This window comes from Homo sapiens, chromosome X, assembly GCF_000001405.40.
Source record: "Homo sapiens chromosome X, GRCh38.p14 Primary Assembly".
Lineage (NCBI taxonomy): Eukaryota > Metazoa > Chordata > Mammalia > Primates > Hominidae > Homo > Homo sapiens.
In genome coordinates, this window is record NC_000023.11 from 40,325,893 (window position 1) to 40,346,894 (window position 21,002).

The 21,002-nt window shown below is 44.6% G+C and overlaps 1 long non-coding RNA gene across 2 annotated transcripts in view; it reads left to right on the forward strand.

Annotated features, from left to right (window-relative positions):
* The window catches only part of LOC105373182 (uncharacterized), an 82,002-nt gene that overhangs the window by 7,852 nt on the left and 53,148 nt on the right, over positions 1–21,002 (forward strand). Inside the window, exon 3 of one of the 2 annotated variants that reach the window (XR_001755831.1) lies at positions 18,159–18,633. The exons of the other annotated variant lie outside the window; for it this stretch is intronic. This is a non-coding gene — a long non-coding RNA (uncharacterized LOC105373182). Of the gene's footprint in view, positions 1–18,158; positions 18,634–21,002 lie in introns of those variants that run through there. 2 annotated transcript variants of the gene reach the window in all.

Below are 21,002 nucleotides of genomic sequence, written 5' to 3' on the forward strand. Positions count from 1 at the left end.
AGAAAAGAGGTTTAATTGGCTCACGGTTCTGCAGGCTGTACAGGAAGCATGATGCTGCTATCTGCTTGGCTTCTAGGGAGGCCTCAGGAAAGTTCCAATCGTGGTAGAAGGCAAAGGGGGAGCAGGCATGTCACATGCCTAGAGCAGGAGCAAGAGAGGGGAGAGGGGGTACCACACACTTTTAAATGACCAGATCTTCTGTCAGGAGGACAGTACCAAGGGGGATGGTTTACCTCCCACCAGGCCCCACCTCCAACATTGTGGATTACATTTCAATGTGAGATTTGAGCAGGTACACTCATCCAAACTCTATCACCCACCGACATTGGTGAGGGTGATTTTTACTCAGCCTGCTGATTCAAATGGTAATCTCTTCCAGAAACTCTCACAGACGCACCCAGAAACAATATCTTATTAGCTATGTGAACATCCCCTTAGTCCGGTCAAGCTGACACATAAAATTAATCATCACTCATAGATTCCATGCTTTGTCATCCTGATTCCCTGATTCACTGTCACCTCAACAGACTTTGTGCTTTTCTGACTGCACTCCATTGTTTATCCCACTGTCCACTCCTCTCTGCCATGTAATAATATCTGGACAATGCTTCATAGTCTAAGTATTTCTCCATATGACATCAGATTTACTCCTCAACAATAGCCCTGCAAGGTGGGCGTTCTTATTCCCATTTTTCTGCTGTGGAGACTGAAATTTAGATAAATATAGGGATTTTCCCAAGGTCCCCAGTTTCTAAGTGGAAACTGGAACTCAGAAGTCATTGGCAAGTACAGGAATGTCCGCAGGTAACTTTCCTCCCTCTGGGTGGGCCTTGGAGATATGGGCCCAACAATACTGTCTGCTACAGGAACTATCTGCGGTATTTGCTTAGCAGGTGGGAGGTAAATCACCTATCTAATTCCTTTGGATTCACACACTGAAAGCTCCCTGTTGAATTTTCCTGGGAACCGTAATGGCCCCTAGTCCCTTAAGCTGAACTAATACGTGATTTGTTCTGGAGTCACCTATGGGGGTGAAACAGTTGTAGGAGAAGGCAGAGAGGTCCAGGACTGAGGGCTTGGGAGAGTTGCTGGTGGAGGCCCCTCAGTGCTTATGGATGATCGTGGGCACTGAATGGGAGGAGGGGAATCTGTCATGACTTTGAGCTGTGGGCACACCAGCAATCTCTTCTTTTGCTCTCAGAGCTGCCTGGGAGTTGGTATATAAATACACCAGCCAGAGGGGGTTGGGGGATTCCCATCTGGAATTTGACAGTTCCTCCCTCAGTTGACACAGAGGAGGGTCCCTGTGGAAGTCAGCTGGTAATCCTCCACCCAGGTGCTCCAGACTTGAGACAGATGAATGGGTGGCCTAGGCTGGGGAAGCACCCAAGCAAGCATTCCATCTCAGATAGTCTCGCAGGGGGTAGCCTCAGCCTGACTTGGGAGTGGAGGAGCTCTGGAGTGTGAGTTACAGGTCAGAGGGGTCCCATGCATAGGCAAGGGAGCTGGGCTTTCATACTCCTCCATCCACCAGCCATTGGCTAAGGACTGCTTTGTCCTGGGGAAGCATACATTTCCAGACATTTTCAGCTCTCCTCAATAAAGTTGCTCCAGTAGGCATGGGCAGGCCTCCAAATAAGTTACAGGTTTTGGAAACAAAGGCACACTGAAGCCAGGGGTGGTCAAAAACAGCACAGAAATAGCCAGGGGAATGCAGGTGTAACACAGACAACAAGAAATTATGGGGACCTCTGGCTTTTTCAGTGTGTGATCAATGCACCTCTTCTCTCTTTGTTTTTGCCGTGAGCTCCATGGGAGCAGAGACTGTGTAACTTTGTAGTCCCAGCAGTCAGCAGAAGGCCTGGTGTCCATGCCCAAATAACTGTTGCCAAAGGGGTGGAAGATGGAATGTTTTGTCCAAGAGTGTAAACGAATGCACAGAGCCAAGACTGAAACAGGGCTCTCTGGGAACAAGGCAGAGGTGTAGAGCCTGGACTGGGGCCTTAGTTGGCTTTGGAGTCATGGTTTTGAACCTGGGGCTGTTCTGCAGTTTCTCCATTATCTGCTAGCCTCTCCCTTTGAATGAGTGATGCTTTCTGGGGATGTTAAATATCTGTAGCTGTTAACTATTTGTGCATGGATAGAGTGGAGGGTTAAGAAACAAAGGTGCCTCACCTCCCCCAGGAAAGCCCAGGTGGTTTGAAGAGTGAGATGTCTGGGTCAGAGGGAAGTGGAAGTGGACTTTTAGGTTAAGCGAGAAGTCTCCAGGGCAGAGCTGATTTAACTCTGAAAATAGCTGGAGGAGGACTCTAGTGGGTGCGTTTACCCCTGCTGTGGCCGGGGTTGGATACTTATTATTCCCCTTTCAACTTTCTGTATCTTATTCTTTCTAGGCCTGATTGTTACTCTCTTTCAGAAACAAGAGGGCGGGGGTGGTAGCTCACACCTGTAATTGCAACACTTAGGGTGGCAGAGGCTAGAGGATGGCTTGAACCCAGCCTGGGCAACATAGCAGGACCACCTCCACAAAAAGAAAAAAAAAAGAAACAAGGACACTCTGGGGACTGACTCACGTTAATTAAAATCACGAGACTGGTATTAAAAACTCAGGAAGTCATTATTAACTTACAGCAAGAAATTCAGTCGTTTATTCATTTATTTATCCCATAAATATTTATTGATTGCTGACCTAAGCCAAATTGGTCATGCATAACCCTAAAGTTCTTTCTAGAAGGTAATATAGCCTCCTGTATGAGGCAGGAGACAAAAACCACAGTGGTTGTTTTAACAGAGAGAATTTAATATAGAGAATGGTTAGCTAAGTATAAGGAATCATTAACTAGTTATCGAAGAACTCAAAAAGCAAAAAAGAGAACTCTGTGGTATCATGAAGGTAGCAATTTCTGGAAGCAGCTACCACCTCTGAGGGACAAAGGGGGAAAAGTTGGAATTATTAAAACCTAGAAGCTTGGAGGAGTGATCGCATGGGGCTGAAACTCAGAAGCCTGAGGAAGGGGCACCTGCTGGCTAGTGCTGGTGTCTCTGAGCTCAGAGGAGGGGCCCCACGGAGGTGGAATCCAGACCTCTAAGGAGGATGAGCTGGCCAGCTGGCATCTGTGGGGTAGGAGATGATGAGGTTGGTTCTGTGGGCATTGCAAACCGGATTCAGCTGCTGCTACAGGAAGGGACTGCTGCTGCCATAGTGAAGAAGCATGGTGTGAGGGATGCCACTCACAGGATTAGAAAGCTAAGGGAAGAAGCCACTGGGAAGCCAGCAGAAGCCCAAAGGAAAAAAACAACTCCCTTCTCCCTCCTCTAGCCTTGAGTCTCTCTCTAGCGCTTCCTACAGGCAGAGCACAAGAGGGAGCAGCTGGCAAAGCAGAAAGGTGGTTTAAGTCCCAGCCCTAGCATCATAAAGAAGGGTGGGTTTGGAGCTGAGAGATGATCTCTTAATAATTGGCTGGGCGCGGTGGCTCACGCCTGTAATCCCAGCACTTTGGGAGGCCAAGGCCGGCGGATCACTTGAGGTTAGGAGTTCGAGACCAGCCTGGCCAATATGGTGAAATCCCGTCTCTATTAATAATACAAAAATTAGCCGGGCGTGGTGGTGCAGGCCTGAAATCCCAGCTACTTGGGAGGCTAAGGCATGAGAATCACCTGAACCCAGGAGGCAGAGGTTGCAGTGAGCGAGATCACGCCACAGTACTCCAGCCTGAGAGACAGTGAAACTGAGTCTCAAAAAAAAAAAAAAAAAGAAAAGAAAAGAAAAGAAAAGAAAAGAAAAAATCTCTTAATAACTGATACATCTCCAAAGAGTCTTGAGGTGAGTGAGGATTAGCTAACCACCCCCAGAAACCTCACCACCAGCTCACACAAAAGCAAATATCTGACCAAACTCTACCACATTTATTAAGCAAGCATTCGTTAGCAATCTGGCACAAACGCAATTGATGCAACCTTTTCTCTAGGCTTGAGGAAGTCCCAGCTCTCAGCTTACCCTTGCATGAAAGGTCACTGAAGGTGGATGCAACATTCCAGAAGCATCAGAGAACCAGAAATCCTCTAAAACTAAAGGTTGAATCAAGCCTCAGGTGCCATCTCTAAGGTGCAGGGCACAGACCTTGCTAGATTCTGATAATCTCTTTATCTAAAGGTGGAGAGTAGCATCTCCAATATATTCAAGTAAACCCATAGACCCTGAATACCTCTAACTTCACCAACAAGAGTCTATTTCTAACATTCGTCATGCTAATTAACAAGCCACCAATTTCATCAATGAAAACCCATTTTTGACTTTCACTTTGCTAATTAGCAAAGCCTCGGGTATTGATGGAGCCTTTGTGATCTTGTATTTGGATATGGTCTTTCTGATATAAAGCCAGCTGACTAGCTGGAGAGGGGATTTTTGGTGAAGGCAAATGACTGACTGCCCCTGGAATTGGAGTTTTAGCTGACACAGACATGATATCACACTGTTCAGGTGGAATTACTTCAAAAATCAAATGCAGAGGTCGGGCGTGGTGGCTCACGCCTGTAATCCCAGCACTTTGGGAGGCTGAGGTGGGTGGATCACCTGAGGTCAGGAGTTCAAGACCAGCCTGGCCAACATGGCAAAACCCTGTTTCTACTAAAAATACAAAAATTAGCTGGATGTGGTGGCACATGCCAGTAATCCCAGCTACTTGGAAGGGTGAGGCAAGAGAATTGCTTGAACCTGGGAGGCAGAGGTTGCGGTGAGCCGAGATCACGCCACTGCACTCCAGCCTCGGTGACAGAGCGAGAGTCCTCCTCAAAAAAAAAAAACAACAAAAAAACAAAAAAAACAAAAAAAAACCAACCAACCAAACAAACAACAAGAACAAAAACAAACAAAAACAAAAAACAAAAAAAAACTGCAGAGACTGTAACAAGTACTGTTTATACCAGGTGCCACTGTGATTCAGTGGTAAACAAGGCACAGTCTTTGCTCTCAAGTGGCTCACAGCCTGGGAGATGAACAGTAAACAGGTGACTGCAATATGTGCAGAGTGTACCTATAGGGGTCGGCCGGTTGGTACTGGGTACTTTTCTGAAAACATCAGGAGGACCAAATTCTGCCACTCGGTTGTCAGCAAACCTTCCCTGTAGGTTGAGTTGCCAGATAAAATACAGGCTATCCAGTTCAATTTGCATTTCAGATAAACAATGAATACTTTTTTTTTTTTTTAGCATAAGTGCTATATTTTATTTGCTAAATCTGGCAATTCTATTTCTAGGCAAAGCTATAAGGAAAGCCAAACAGGGCAGAAGTCAGCTCAGTGAGTGTGAGATTAGTCAAGGCAGGAGGATGAGATAGCTTTAGGTTCAATGCCTGAGTTATCTATTTCCATCTGCCTCCCCAGACAAGCCCAAGTATTTTAGAGGTCAGGGGGTCGGCTTCCCTGAGCAGTGCTGGCCAAGACACACGTGGTCTCTCTGATTTCCTTTTATAAATGCCACGCACATTCTTCTTAAACAGACCCCTCTGCCAGCACATTCTTTCTTATGCAGATGCCGTGATGGTTAATTTTATGTGTCAACTTGGAGGGTGTTTTGGGATAAAATTAACGTTGAAATTGATGAACCGATTAACATTGAAATTGATGAACAGATCCATAGTGTGGGTGGGCCTCGTTCAATCAGTTGAAGGCCAGAAAGGAGCAAAAAGACCAGCCTCCCTGAGCAAGAGGAATTCTCCAGAATACACTGCCTTCAGACTTCATCTGCAGCTTCAGCTCTCCCCAGTCTCTGCCTACCAGCCCACACTGCAGATTTTGGACTTGCTGGCCTCCATAATCATGTGAACCAATCCCTTATAATCTCTCTCTCTTGCTCTATGTGTGTGTGTATACATAGGTATATGTGTATATATATATGCGTGTATATATATATAGTATATGTGTATAGATATATCCATGTATTTATACATATATACACGCACACACGTGTGTGTGTTTGTGTGTGTGTGTGTACATCCTTTTGGTTCTGTTTCTCTGGAGAACCCTAATACAGACCCCCAAATAGCTGATTAGGTTTGAGGTTCCATAATGACAAAGCAGTTTTGCTTCCTTCTTCTAAACAGGTTCCCTGAATGGGATTCGTTTGCTCATAGTCTTCATTTTTTTCTCCATTAATGGATGATTTCATTTTTCTCTTAACACTCAGAGAGATTAAGAAACTTGCCGAAGCCTGGCCAGCTGAAATTTCATCTCACCTCTAGCTTCAAGGCTTGTGCTTGAAGCTGTTCTGCTGTTCAGTGTCAGTCTGTATCCTGGAAATTGTCTTCCTCGATACAGGGAGGTTTCTGTTGGGTAAAGTAAAGGATGCTGGGCTTGGAGTCAGAAGACTTTGGCCTTGTTCAGAAATGGAAACATCCCAGATGGGGTTAGCAGTTTGGAGAGGGCTTTGATGCTTAGGAGCTATGCAAGCACGTTCAGCAACTCCTGCAGGTTGACCTGACAGAACCTCTTGATAAACTTGAACTCTGGGCATGCAGGGCGAGCCAAGGCTAGGTCTCATTAGTGATGTCACAGCCCCAGGAGGCACAACAATTAAAGGAGCAGCTTTTTGGGTCAAAGGCAGGAGATCCTGCTGGTGGGAACTCAGGGAAGGTGTGGGTCCCACTCAACCTCTGCAAAACCAGTCCTATTATTCTACCCTTGTCTCCAGGCAATGCCTACACTCATGTGGAAGCTTCAAGGGGATGGAGGGCAGGTTTCTGATCCTCCTGAGGCATCACAATCCTCAAATCCACCAGGCTGGGGCCAGAAACTGATGGCAGGGCGGGGCAGTTGGGGAGGGCAGGAGTTAAATAAACACAGGTTTCATGGCTAGCCAGGTGTGAAGGTAAAGTTTTTCTTTACTAGCTGTGTTCTAGTTCTAGAATATTATGTACTAAATGTTTCTGTCCCTTCAAAATTCATATATTGAAGCCCCAGTCTCCATTGAGATGTTATTACGAGGTGGGGCCTTTGGGAGGTGATTAGGTTTAGATGACATCTTGAGGATGGGACCCCCCCATGATGGGATTAATGTTCTTATGAGAAGAGGAAGACCAGAGCACACTGTCTCTGCCATGTGAGTACACAGCAAGAAGATGGCTGTCTGCAAACCAGGAATAGAGCACTCACCAGGGAACTGAACTGCCTGGCACTTTGACCTTGGACTTCCCAGCCTCCAGAACTATGAGAAATAAATGTAAGTTCCTTAAGCCCCCAGCCTGTGGTATTTTGTTATAGCAGCCTGAGCTGACTAATACATAGAGTGACTACACAATGTCTCTTATTAGCAGTTTTCCCATGTAAAATCTCTTAGTAAACATGTACTGCTTTGTGTACATGTATGTTTTTTAATTTTTAAAATCAACATTATTGATGTATAATTTACATACAATAACATGTACCCATTTTAAGTGTACAGTTTGATGAGTTTGGAGAAATATACATACCCGTTTAACCACACACCAGTCAAGATATAGGTCATTTTCATCCATGATGGATCTTGGATCCATCACCAAGAATACAAGATTTCCCTTGTATTCTTTTGCAGTCAATCCCTTCTCTCCACCCTAGCTCTAAGCAACACTAATCTGCTTTTCCCACTGTAGATTAGTTTTGCCTGTTCCGGAATTTTATAGACATAGAGTCATATAACGCACACTTTATTGTGTCTGGCTTTTGTTCAATAGAATGCTTTTGAGATCATCCATGTTATTGCATGTGTCAATATTTGGGGATTAAAAAAATTGCTGTGTAGTATTCTGTTGTATGAATATACCACAATTTGTTTATCCATACTCTTTGGTATATTTTAAATTTATGTATATTCTGTTATATATCTCATTCTGGGTTTTAGATTTTTCACTAAGCATAGCTTTAAGACTCACTCATGTAGCTATTTGTATATCTAACTCATTGCTACTAAATGCTTCATATTACTCCATCATGGGCAGTCCCCAGGTTTTATCTAATCACCCCCTCAGTGATGGATGCCACTTTGCTACCCACCACACAAAAAAATACTGCACTGAGCACCTTTTACATGTACCTCATGGACCTCTGAATTTTCATGGGATATATACCCAGGAGGTGAATTGCTGGGTCATTTACTACATGTTTACTTAATTAATGTCAGAGATGTCAGCTTCTTCTCCAGAATGGCTGCACTAGTCTACACTCCTACCTGCAATGCCAGAGGGCTTTTTATAGCCCTATAGCTCCCCAGCACTTGGCATTATACAGCTAACTTTTGCAGTCTAATATAAAAAAGTGATATCTCATTTTTGTTTTAATTTGCATCTCCCTGATTGCAAATAAGTTTGAGCACCTTTGCAGGTGGGTGTCTCTCTCTAAACTGCCTGTTCATATTCTTTGCCCAGTTTTCTACCGGGGATGCTGTTTTGCTTCATGTTGATTTGCAGGTGTTTCTCACATATTTGACATGCTCATTTCTTGTTTTAGAGATTGAAAACATTTTCTTCCATTTTGGGCATACATCTATTCCCTTTGTCTGTGGTGTGCTTCAATAAACAGAAATCCTTAATTTTGAAGTAAATACATTTCCCTTTTCACCTAATGGTCTTTGCCTTTGAAGTTTTATTTAAGTAGTCTTTCTCTGCCAATAGAGATCACAAAGATATTCTTTTACAGTTTCTCCTATTAACTTTATAGTTTTCACTTTCACTTTTAGTTCTTCAGTCTACAGACTCCCCAGTTTATTGGTGGTGTTAGCTTGGGATACAGTTTTAATTTTTTCCATTTGGTGCACCAGTTTTTGTTTTTTTTTTTTTTCAGACGGAGTCTCGCTCTGTTGCCCAGGCTGGAGTGCAGTGGCGCAATCTCAGCTCACTGCAAGCTCCGCCTCCTGGGTTCACGCCATTCTCCTGCCTCAGCCTCCCGAGTAGCTGGGACTACAGGCACCCGCCACCACACCTGGCTAATCTTTTGTATTTTTAGTAGAGATGGGGTTTCACTATGTTAGCCAAGAGGGTCTCGATCTCCTGACCTCGTGATCCGCCCACCTTGGCCTCCCAAAGTGCTGGGATTACAGGCGTGAGCCACCTCGCCTGGCCCAGTTTTGTTTTAACTCCATGCAGAGGATCTTTAAAATCTTGGCTCTGGCCGGGCGTGGTGGCTCATGCCTGTAATCCCAGCACTTTGGGAGGCTAAGGTGGGCAGATCATGAGATCAGGAGCTCGAGACCAGCCTGACCAACATGGTGAAACCCCATCTTTACTAAAAATACAAAAATTAGCCAGGTATGGTGGCATGCACCTGTAATCCCAGCTACTCAGGAGGCTGAGGCAGGAGAATCGCTTGAACCCAGGAGGTGGAGGTTGCAGTGAGCCGAGATCATGCCACTGCACTCCAGCCTGGGCAACAGAGTGAGACTGTCTCAAAAAAAAAAAAAATATTGCCCACACCAATTCATGAAAATGTTTTCCTCTAAAAGCTTTATTATTTTATCTTTCCTATTTAGATCTACAATTCTTCTGAAATTGATTTACATGTATGGTGTGAGATAGGGATCCAGATTTATTTCTCCCCATTTAGATACAAAATTAACCCAGTGCCATTTATTTAAAAGATTATCTTTTTTCCACTATACATCAGTGTCATACTGTAATAAACCAGGTAAACTAAATGTGTGTCTGCTCTGGATTCTTGATTATTTTCCATTGGTCAGTTTATCTATCCTTGTGTAGTACATCACTGTATTCCTCAGAGAGGGCTTGTGTAGTCTTATGCTAATTTTAGACACTTTATAATTTTGTAGCTATTGTAAATGATTTTATTTTTATTACATTTTATAGTTTCTAGTTATTTCTGTAGTAAAAAGCAGCTACTGATTTCTGTAGGTTGATTTTCTAGTTAGAAACTTTATGTATATCCCCACTTAGAGTTGAGTTTATGGATTACATTTTTATTTCTAGATAGATGGTCATATCACTTGCAAATAGCAATTTTATCTTTTTCCTTCCCAAAAGTATATCTCCATGATGATTAATTTTATATGTCAATTTGGCTAGTCTCTTGTGCCCAGTTATTTTGTCACACAACAGTCTACAGTCTAGGTGTTGCCACGAAGGTATTTTTTAGATGAGATTAACATTTAACTCAATGGACTTTGAGTAAAGCAGATTACCCTCCATAATGTGGGTAGGCCTTGTCCAGTCAGTTGAAGGCCTTAAGAAAAAAGATGAACATTCTTGGAGGGAGAGACAATTCTGCCTCTAGAATGCCTTTGGACTTAAGCTGCAACATCAGTTCTTCCCTGGGTCTCCAGCCTGCTAGTCCACTCTGCAGATTTCTGACTTGTCAGTCCACACAATCACGTGAGCTAATTCCTTAAAGTAAATCTTCCTCCCTCCCTCTCTCTTTCTCTCTCTCCTCCCCTTACACTCTTTTTCACTGTCTGCATACATCCTATTGCTTCTCTTTCTCTGGAGAAGCCTGACTAATACAACCTCTTAATTATTTTCATTTTCTAACAATGGCCAGGACTTTCATGCCATATTACACAGTAAAGGTTGAGGACACATTTGTCTTATTTATAATCTTAAAGGGAATGTGTCTAAAGTTTCTCCATTAAGTATATTTGCTGTAGGTTTTTTGTTGTTGTTTCCGAGGCAGAGTCTCACTCCATCACCCAGGCTGGAGTGCAGTGCTGTAGTCTCGGCTCACTGCAACTGCTGCTTCCTGGGTTCAAGTGATTCTCGTGCCTCAGCCTCCTGAGTAACTGAGATTACAGGTGCCTGCCACCACACCCAGCTAATTTTTGTATTTTTAGTAGAGACAGGGTTTTGCCATGTTGGCCAGGCTGGTCTGGAACTCCTGATCTCAAGTGATCTGCCTGCCTCGGACTCTCAATGTGCTGGGATTACAAGTGTGAGCCACTACACCCAGCCTTCCGTAGGATTTGATACATAACCTTTATCAAGTTAAGAAAATTTCTTTATGTTCCTAGTTTGCTAAGTTTACTGATGTTGAACCATTGTCGAATTTCTGGGATAAAACCTTCATCATGATGGATATATATATATATATTTAAATCCTGTTGAGTTCTGTCAGTAAATCTTTTGTTTGGGATTTATACATCTGTTTTCATAAATGAAAAAGCCCTGTAAGTACATTTTTTAAAATTTTAATTTTAATTTTTTTTTTTTGAGACGGAGTCTCACTCTGTCACCCAGGCTGGAGTGCAGTGGCATGATCTCGGCTCACTGCAAGCTCTGCCCCCCGGGTTCATGCCATTCTTCTGCCTCAGCCTCCCAAGTAGCTGGGACTACAGGTGCCCACCACCACGCCCAGCTAATTTTTTGTTTTTTTAGTAGAGACGGGGTTTCACCGTGTTAGCCAGGATGGCCTCGATCTCCTGACCTTGTGATCCACCCGCCTCGACCTCCCAAAGTGCTAGGATTACAGGCATGAGCCACTGCGCCCGGCCATAAGTACTTTTTAAAAATTGTCACTAACTGGTTTTGGAATTAAGATTGCCTTGGCTTCAAAATGAGCTGGATGGCATTCACTCTTTTTCTAAACTCTGAAACAATCTGGGTAAAATAGGAATTAAGCATTTCTTTCTTTTTTAAAACAATTTATTTTTTTTTTTTGAGATAGAGTCTCACCCTGTTGCACCTGCTGGAGTGCAGTGGCATGATCTCGGCTCACTGCAACCTCTGCCTCCCAGGCTCAAGCTATCCTCCTGCTTCAGCTTCCTGGAATTACAGCCTCCCGGCTAATTTTGTATTTTTTGTAGAGACAGGGTTTCACTGTGTTGGCCAGGCTGGTCTTGAACTCCTGATCTCAAGTGATCTGCCTGCTTTGGCCTCCCAAAGTGCTGGGATTACAGGCGTGAGCCACCACACCTGGCCGGAATTAAGCATTTCTTAAAAATTTCATAGAATTCGCCTATAAAACTAAAAGGGCCATCAGTGATAGACTGGATAAAGAAAATGTGGCACATATACACCATGGAATATATGCAGCCATAAAAAAGAATGAGATCACGTCCTTTGCGAGGACATGGATGAAGCTGGAAACCATCATCCTCAGCAAACTAACACAGGAACAGAAAACCAAACACCGCATGTTCTCACTCATAAGTGGGAGTTGAACCATGAGAACACATGGACACAGGGAGGAGAACAACACACACTGGGGCCTGTCGGGGGGTGGAGGGCAAGGGGAGGGAAAGCATCAGGACAAATACCTAATGCATGCGGGGCTTAACACCTAGATGATGGGTTGATAGATGCAGCAAACCACCATGGCACACGTATACCTATGTAACAAACCTGCACATCCTGCACATGTATCCTGGAACTTAAAATAATATATTTTAAAAAACAAACTAAAAGGGCCTAAAGTTTTGGGGGAGAGGATGTCTTTGACTACCATTTCAATCTTTTCGTGCTTGGCCTGGAATTAGTCATCTTCTTGATCAAACTGTTGCATTTTATATATTTCTAGAACTTTATTTCATTTTTTTTTTGAGACGGAGTCTCGCTGTCACCCAGGCTGGAGTGCAGTGGTGTGATCTCGGCTCACTGCAAGCTCCGCCTCCCGGATTCACGCCATTCTCCTGCCTCAGCCTTCCGAGTAGCTGGGACTACAGGCGCCCACCACCACACCCGTCTAATTTTTGTATTTTTAGTTGAGACGGGGTTTCACCATGTTAGCCAGGCTGGTCTCGATCTCCTGACCTCGTGATCCGCCTGCCTCGGCCTCCCAAAGTGCTGGCATTACAGGTGTGAGCCACCACGCCCAGCCCCTATTTCATTTTTTTTTCAATTTTAGTAGTGCAGAGTTATTCATAATGCTTTTTTCTTTTTTAAATAATCACTTTAGTGCCTGTGGTTATTTCTTCCTTTTCTTTTTGTATTTTATTTATTCACATCCTCTCTTTTTTTTTTTTTTGAGACGGAGTCTTGCTCTGTCGCCCAGGCTGGAGTGCGGTGGCACATCTCGGCTCACTGCAAACTCCGCCTCCTGGATTCACACCATTCTCCTGCCTCAGCCTCCCGGGTAGCTGGGACTACAGGCACCCGCCACCACGCCCGGCTAATTTTTTGTATTTTTAATAGAGACGGGGTTTCACCGTATTAGCCAGGATGGTCTCAATCTCCTGACCTTGTGATCCACCCGCCTCAACCTCCCAAAGTGCTGGGATTACAGGCGTGAGCCACCGCACCCGGCCCATATCTTCTCTTTTTTATTCTTGATCACTCTTGCCAGAGGTCTGTCTTTAAAAACATCTTTTCATGGAACCAGTTTTTGACTTTTAAAATAATTCTCACAGTTTTTGTTGCTGTTCTGTTTCATAGAGTTGTGCCAGGACTGAGCCAAGCATTTGCAGTTGTTTTCAATAACAACTGAGCATGCAAACTAGAGGTCAACTCTACTTTCAATGTATCCATAATTGGTAACTGTATCTGTCACAATGTAGTCTCACCAAAGCTGTAATTATTCCAGAGAAGTGGCCAGCTTGTTACCTTGGCCACAGTACATAGATAAAGGAACTGTTCACAGGAAATCATGAGAATAGATGCAAATATTGGAATGATAGCAATATGGTTGACACGCCAGCACTCACAGTCTATTCAGCAAATGTACCTTCTTCTCTTTAGGAAGGGCCGTGAAATCCTGGCTGGGAATTTTGCAGGACCAATCAGAGACATTGCTTTCGATGCTCATTGTTCCATCTCAGACCCCTGCTCTCATGTGCTTAGGTCTTCAATGGGTGATTTCTAGCGTGGGTATGGCAACTCACTTATCTCTGCTAATGTGTCTGCCTGTGCCTCAGTTGAGTGTAGAGGATTTATGGACAGGAGCCTTATCCCAACGTTGCCATCCTCCCCCGTTGCCCCAGATAAATGGCCAGATGAAAAGGCTGGAACAGTGTGCCAAGGATGCTCTGAAGGAGATTGTTGGAAAGATGAGCCATAAGACATGCCAGGTTTCTGGCTGCTCAAAATGTCACACACTATTCAATTTTTACAGCCAGTCCTGCTGAATTACCGTGAGGCCATCCATCAAGAATGGTCTCAGCTGTCTCCACATAGATAAATAAGAATGATGTCTGAATGCCATTCTGTCTGTAACTATCTTTCACTTATTTTACCCTATGAGTTAGTCTGGTGGGGTTAAGCCAAGGGTGGGATCTGCTGCTAGAATAATGAATACCGGGACCCTCTGAGCACACTGGGTCCGTGTAACATTGTCTAATTGATCACTGGCAAAATCTCCCTCCCAGGGTAACTAGAGGAAGACAGACCAATAGAAATGCCTCCTTCAGAGTCACTGGTGTTGATTTTTCAGACTCATGAGGATTCCTCAAAGCTGCAAGGAAGGAAGCAATAACTCCTCAGGCACTGCAGCTACACCCAGTATTTCACCTGGGTAGTGCCCAAGAGTACCACTGTAAAACAGTTTGTCACAGGCCAGGTTTCCTGGGAAACAGACTCTGAGATAGAGATTTGCATGCAGGAAGCTTATTGAGGTGTGATCTCAGGATCTACACCTGAGAGGGCATGAGGGCTGCAGGATTGGGCAGAGAAAGAACCTGAACTGTGATGAGGTTGCACCCAAGGCCCATTTGACCCCATGGGGAGTTCTGGAGCTGGGATGATCCTTTAGAATTGTCTGCAATTGAGAGGAGGGGCCAAAGCCTTTGTTCTCCCACATTGGCCAGTCTCTGGATATGGGCTGCCCCCTGGGAAGGGGACATGATCTTGGGTGAGGCAGGCATCTTCAGCTGAAGGCAATCCCCATGTAGGGATTCAGCGGCCAGCTGCCAGCTGTCAACACTCCCTGCAGCAGGGAGAATGAGTGCTTCAGTGGGACATTTGCACAGTGCACCACAGCACCCATCACAGTCGTCACCCCTTGTGCCGCTCACACTCACTTGCTTCATAGAGTAAACTTGGAGCACAGCTCCTCCAGGTTTCAGGTGATCTTCATTTCCTGGAATAACTTACAAGAGGAGGGTCAGTGAGACAAACTACAGACCCAGCTACTCCAACTGGTCTTGAGGCCTCAAATGATATTCAGTGTCTCCCTTCTCTACTACCCATTCTAGATTCTCTTCACCATTCAAGAACAACTGTCAGCATAGGTGGCTTACCTGCTGACACAATACAGATTCTCATCCTTGAAGGGTCTGAGCCCTGGTCACCATCCTCTTTTCAGACCAAGGTTGCTATATTTGTCCATTTCCTATCAAAACCGAGCAAGGAAGTATCAAGAGGTACCCAAGGATATCAACTGAAGGTCGAATATAATCCTTCCTGTCTCCCTTGTATAACAGAGCCCTACCTCCTCCTGAAGATCATGGTTAGACCTGCCAGGATAGTGACTCCTCTTATTGCCTGCTTGTCTGTTAGTGTGTGAAACCTAAAGTGACTGGGTAGAAGCAATAGTTTAAATTTTAGTAGGACTTTTTCTGAGCCCCTAGTGGAAGAGTTACCTCTCTAGGAACCAGAAACTCCAAACCTGCAGAGCTGAGAGTTGCAGGACAAGAAGCACAAATTCAATAAGCACAAATTTCTTATTTTGTTTGTTTGTTTTGAGACAGAGTCTCGCTCTGTCGCCCAGGCTGGAGTGCAGTGGCGCAATCTTGGCTCACTGCAAGCTCCGCCTCCTGGGTTCACGCCATCCTCCTGCCTCAGCCTCCCGAGTAGCTGGGACTGCAGGCGCCTGCCACCATGCCCGGCTAATTTTTTTTTTTTTTTTGTATTTTTAGTAGAGATGTAGTTTCACCTTGTTAGCCAGGATGGTCTCGATCTCCTGACCTTGTGATCCGCCCGCCTCGGCCTCCCAAAGTGCTGGGATTACAGGCGTGAGCCACCGCGCCCGGCCAATAAGCACAAATTTCAATAAAAACTGAGCAAGCAAGCTGGAGGTCAACTCCATTTTCTCTCTCTCTTTTTTTTTTTTTTTGAGATGGAGTCTCGCTCTGTTGCCCAGGCTGGAGTGCAGTGGCGCCATCTTGGCTCATTGCAACTTCCGCATCCTGGGTTCAAGCAATACTCCTCACTCAGCCTCCTGAGTAGCTGGGATTACAGATGTGTGCCACCACACCTGGATAACTTTGTATTTTTAGTGGAGACGGGGTTTCACCATTTTGGCAAGGCTGGTCTCAAATTCCTGACCTCAGGTGATCTGCCCGCCTCGGTCTCCCAAAGTGCTGGGATTACAGGTGTGAGCCACCATGCCCAGCCTCATCTCCATTTTCAATGCATCGATAATTGGTAACTATATCTGTCACAATACAGTCTCATTAAAGTTGTAAGTATTCCAGAGAGGTAGCCAGATTGTTACCTTGGCCACAGTACATAGATCAGGGAACTGTTCACAGGAAAAGATGAGAATAGATGTGAATATTGGAATGACAGCAATATGGTTGATGCATGCCAATTTTGATGAAGTCCAATTTATCTTTTTGTTTTCTTTAGTTGCTTATGCTTTTGGTGTCAAATCTAAGAACCTACTGCCAAATCCGATGAAGATTTAACCCTAGGTTTTCTCCTAATAGTTTCATAGCATTACCTCTTAAATTTAGGTTGCTGACCCATCTTGAGTTAATTTTTGTTTATAGAGTAAGGTAGGATTCCAACTTCATTTTATGGTTATAGAGTTGTTCAAGCACCATTTGTTGAAGAAACTAGTTTTACCCATTGAATAGTTTTGACATCCATGTTAAAAAATCAATTGGCCGTAGATGTTTGAGTTTATTTCTGGACTCCAAATTCTATTCATTTATTTCTACATCTAGCCTTATGCCAGTACCACACTGTTTTGATTACTGTAGCATTGTAGTCAGTTTTAAAATCAGGAGGTGTAAGTCCACAAACTTCGTTTTTCATTTACAATGTTGTTGTGGCTATTCAGAGTCCATGCAGTTCCATATGAGCATCAGAGCCAGCTTTTCCATTTCTGTCATTGCAGGTCCTTTTGATAGGGATTGTGTTAAATCTGTAAGTCTTTTGGGGAGGGGGTATTGCTATCTTAACAATATTAAATCTTCCAAACTATGAACATGGAATGTCTTTCTATTTATTTAAGTCTTCTTTAATTTCTTTCAGCAGTATTTCATAGTTTTCAGTGTACAAGTCTTTCAACTCCTTGGTTAAATTTGTTCCTTGGCATTTTATTCTTTTGGAGGTATTGTAAATGTAAATTTTTTTTTAGTTTCTGTTTTGGATTGTCCATTGCTGGCATATAGAAACAAAAGTGATTTTTTTTTAAAGCTTTCCTGTGCTTGCTATTATAAGTAATACTTTAATTTTTTTTTTTTTTTTTTTTTTTGAGACATGGTCTCATTCTGTCACCCAGACTGAGACGAGTGCAGTGATGCGATCATAGTGATGGCAGGGGCTGCTGCCATCATGCCAACTGCAGCAGGGAGGTGTGGCTGGAGCTGTACACTCCATGGAGCCGGTGGGAGCCCTGCCCCTTCTGAGTTGGGACTGGAGCTCCCTGTGCGGCTGCAGCCGCCCAAACCGCAGCTGCAGACCCAGGCCTCCTGCTCTACGGAGCAGGCAGAGCCCCGCCCTCTTGGGCACCACCGCCGCCCAAACTGCAGCTGTGGATCCGAGCCTCCCTGTGCTCTTGGGGGAGCCGGGAACAGGCAGGCTCTGCACTCCCTGGTGCAGCCGTAACCACCCGACCTGCTACTGCAGGGCCTCCCACTCCAAGAAGCAGGCAGGAGCCAGGGACAAGCAGGAGCCCTGCCTATTCAGGGTTGGTGGGGTGGGAGCTCCTGGGTGCAGCTGAGGCTGCCCTCCCAGGCACAGGACCTGGGCATCTCTGTAGCCTGCACCCTTGGGCGCCCCAGGAAGGAGCCCCCATCTCTGCAGTCTCAGGGGTATCTCCTCCCACTGCCTGGCCTCTCTCCACTCCCAGCACTGGCTCCGATCTCAGAGTGGGGTTGGAGCCAAGCCCAGGGGCCATGAATGGCAGCAGGAGGCAGACAGAGTCCTGGGCAGAAGGGGGTGGGATCCTCAGTAAGGCCCCACTCTCAAACCAGGGAGGGCCTGAAGGCTGGGGGCTGGGCTGCCAGAGTGAGGACTCGTGGTGCCTCTTCCAGGCCCACCCACGGCCGCCCACAGACCAATCTACATTCACTTCTTCCCCTCTGAGGTTCATAAAAGCCCTGGACTCAGCCAGAGCAGGGTAGAAGATGGCCAGAGGACAAAGAAGGCAGAGAGATGGCAGGAGGATCAGCTGCAGAGAGGAGTACCCTTTATGCTGAGAGCTGCAGAGATGACCTGCCAGCAGAGAGAAGCTATCCTCTCCCACTGAGAGCTTCAGAGACCTGCAGAAATGTCCAAACGACCTGCCTGCAGAGAGGAGCTATCCTCTCCAGAGCCTCCTCTCTGCTATGAGCTGAATATTCCATAGGATGACCTGCCTACACTGAGGAGCTACCCACTCCTCTGAGCTGTTCTAACACTAAATAAAACTCTTCTTCACCCTTCACTTGTCTGCATACCTCATTCTTCCTGGATGCAGGACAAGGACGTGGGCAAAGGTGCCATGACCACAAAGGTTTCCAGCCAGGAAAATCAACACCCCAGATATCCTGTAACAATAGCTCTCTGCAGTCTTGACCTTTTGGGCTCAAAGGATCCCCCTGTGTCAGCCTCTTGAGTAGCTGGGACCATAGGCACAGGCCATCACACCCAGCTAATTTTTTAAATTTTTGTAAAGATGGGGTCTTGCTATGTTGCCCAGGCTGGTCTCGAACTTTTGGGCTCAAGTGATCCTCCCACTTCAGCCTCCTAAAGTGCTGGGATTACAGGCATGAGCCACTCTGCCTGGTCCTACTTTCAGCTTTTTATCTGGTCCTTACTTTAGTGTGTGTGTTTTAAACACCACAACTGTATCATCTCAGGGTTCTGAAGGTCAGCAGTCCAAAATGAGTTTTGTAGAGCTAAAATTAAGTTGTGAGCAGAGCTACATTCCTCCTGGAGGCTCTAGGGGAGAATCAATTTCCTTGCCTTTTCCAGCTTCCAGAGGGTGCCTGCATTCCTTGACTTGTGGCCATTCATCCTCAAACTCACCAGCGTAGCATCTTCAAATCTTGCTCTGGACTGGGCACAGTGGCTCAGGCCTGTAATCCCAGCACTTTGGGAGGCTGAGGTGGGAGGACTGCTTGAAGCCAGGAGTTCAAGACCAGCCTAGGCAACAAAGTGAGACCCCTGTCTCTCTTTTTTTTTTAAAAAATTAGGTATGGTGGCATGCACCTGTAGTCCCAGCTACTGGGAGGCTGAGGCAGGAGAATCACTTGAGCCCAGTAGTTCAAGGCTGTAGTGAGCCATGACTGTGCCACTGTACTCCAGCCTGAGCAACAGAGTGAGACCCTGTCTCAAAAAAAAATCTTGTTCTGATCCTGATTCTGATTCCTCCGATTCTGTTTCTACCATCATATCTCCTTTATCTCTGACCCTCCTGCCTCTTTAAGAAAAATTGTGGTAATATATATATAACTTAAAATTTACCATTTTAACCATTTTTAAAGTGAATAGCTTGGTGGCATTGAGTACATTCAGATTGTTGTGCAACCACAACTGATTTTTGTATGTAGATCTTGTACCCTACAAATTTGCTGAACTTCTTTATTAGCACTAGTAGTTTTTTGTGTGTATTCTATGGGATTTTCTTTTTATTTTATTATATTTTATTTTATTTTTTGAGACAGAGTCTCACTCTGTCACCCAGGCTGGAGTGCAGTGGCACAATCTCGGCTCACTGAAACCTCCGCCTCCGGGGTTCAAGTGATTCTCCTGCCTCAGCCTCCTGAGTAGCTGGGATTACAGGTGCGTGCCACCATGCCTGGCTAATTTTTTGTACTTTTAGTAGAGACAGAGTTTCACCGTGTTGGCGAGGATAGTCTCAATCTCCTGACCTCGTGATCCGCCCGCCTTGGTCTCCCAAAGTGCTGGGATTATAGGCATGAACCACTGTGCCCGGCCTTCTGTAGGATTTTCTATATGTAGGATGATGTCATCTGCAAACAGAAATAGTTTTACTTTTTCCTTTCCAAGTTGGATGCCTGTTATTTCTTTTTCTTGCCTAATTGCTGTAGCTAGGATTTCCAGTACAATGTTCAATAGCAGTGGTGAAAGCAGGCATCCTTGCCTTGTTCCTGATCTTAGGGGAAGAGCTTTCTATCTTTTACTGTTGAGTATGAGGTTAGCTATAGGTTTTTCATAAGGAATTCCTTTTTATTCTTAGTTTGCTGGGTGTTTTTTTCATGAAAGACTGTTGAGTTTTGTCAAATGCTTTTTTTTTTTGCAACTACTGAGATGATCATATGGTTTTTTTCCCTTTGTTCTTTTAATGTGGTGTGTTATATTGATCTATTTTCTTATGTAGAACCACCCTTGCATTCGTGGGATATATCCCACTTGGTTACGGTATATAATCATTTTTATGTTCCATTGAATTCAGTTTGCTAGTATTTTGCTGAGGATTTTTCTGTCTGTTCATAAAGGATATTGGTCAGTAGTATTTTTTTGTTTGTGGCATCCTTGTGTCTTTGGTATCAGGGTCATGCAAGCCTTATAGAATATGCTGGGAAGTATTCCTTTCTCTTCCATTTTTTGGGAGAATTTGAGGTAGCATTGCTGTTAATTGTTCTTTAAATGTTTGGTAGAATTCACTAGTGACGTCATCTGATCCTAGACTTTTCTTTGCTGGGAGGTTTTTGATTACTGATTCAATCTCTTTACTTGTTAAAGATTTGTTGAGATTTTATATTTTTTTCTTCACTCAATTGTGATTGTTTGTGTGTTCCTGGGAATTTGTCCACTTCATCTAGATTATCTGATTTGTTGCATACAGTTGTTCACAGTATCCATAATCCTTTTAATTTCTATAAAGTTGTTTTTAAAATTTCTGATTTTACAAAAAATTAAAAAAAAATAGATGTTGGTGTGGATGCAATGAAAAGGGAACACTTCTACACTGCTGTTGGGAATG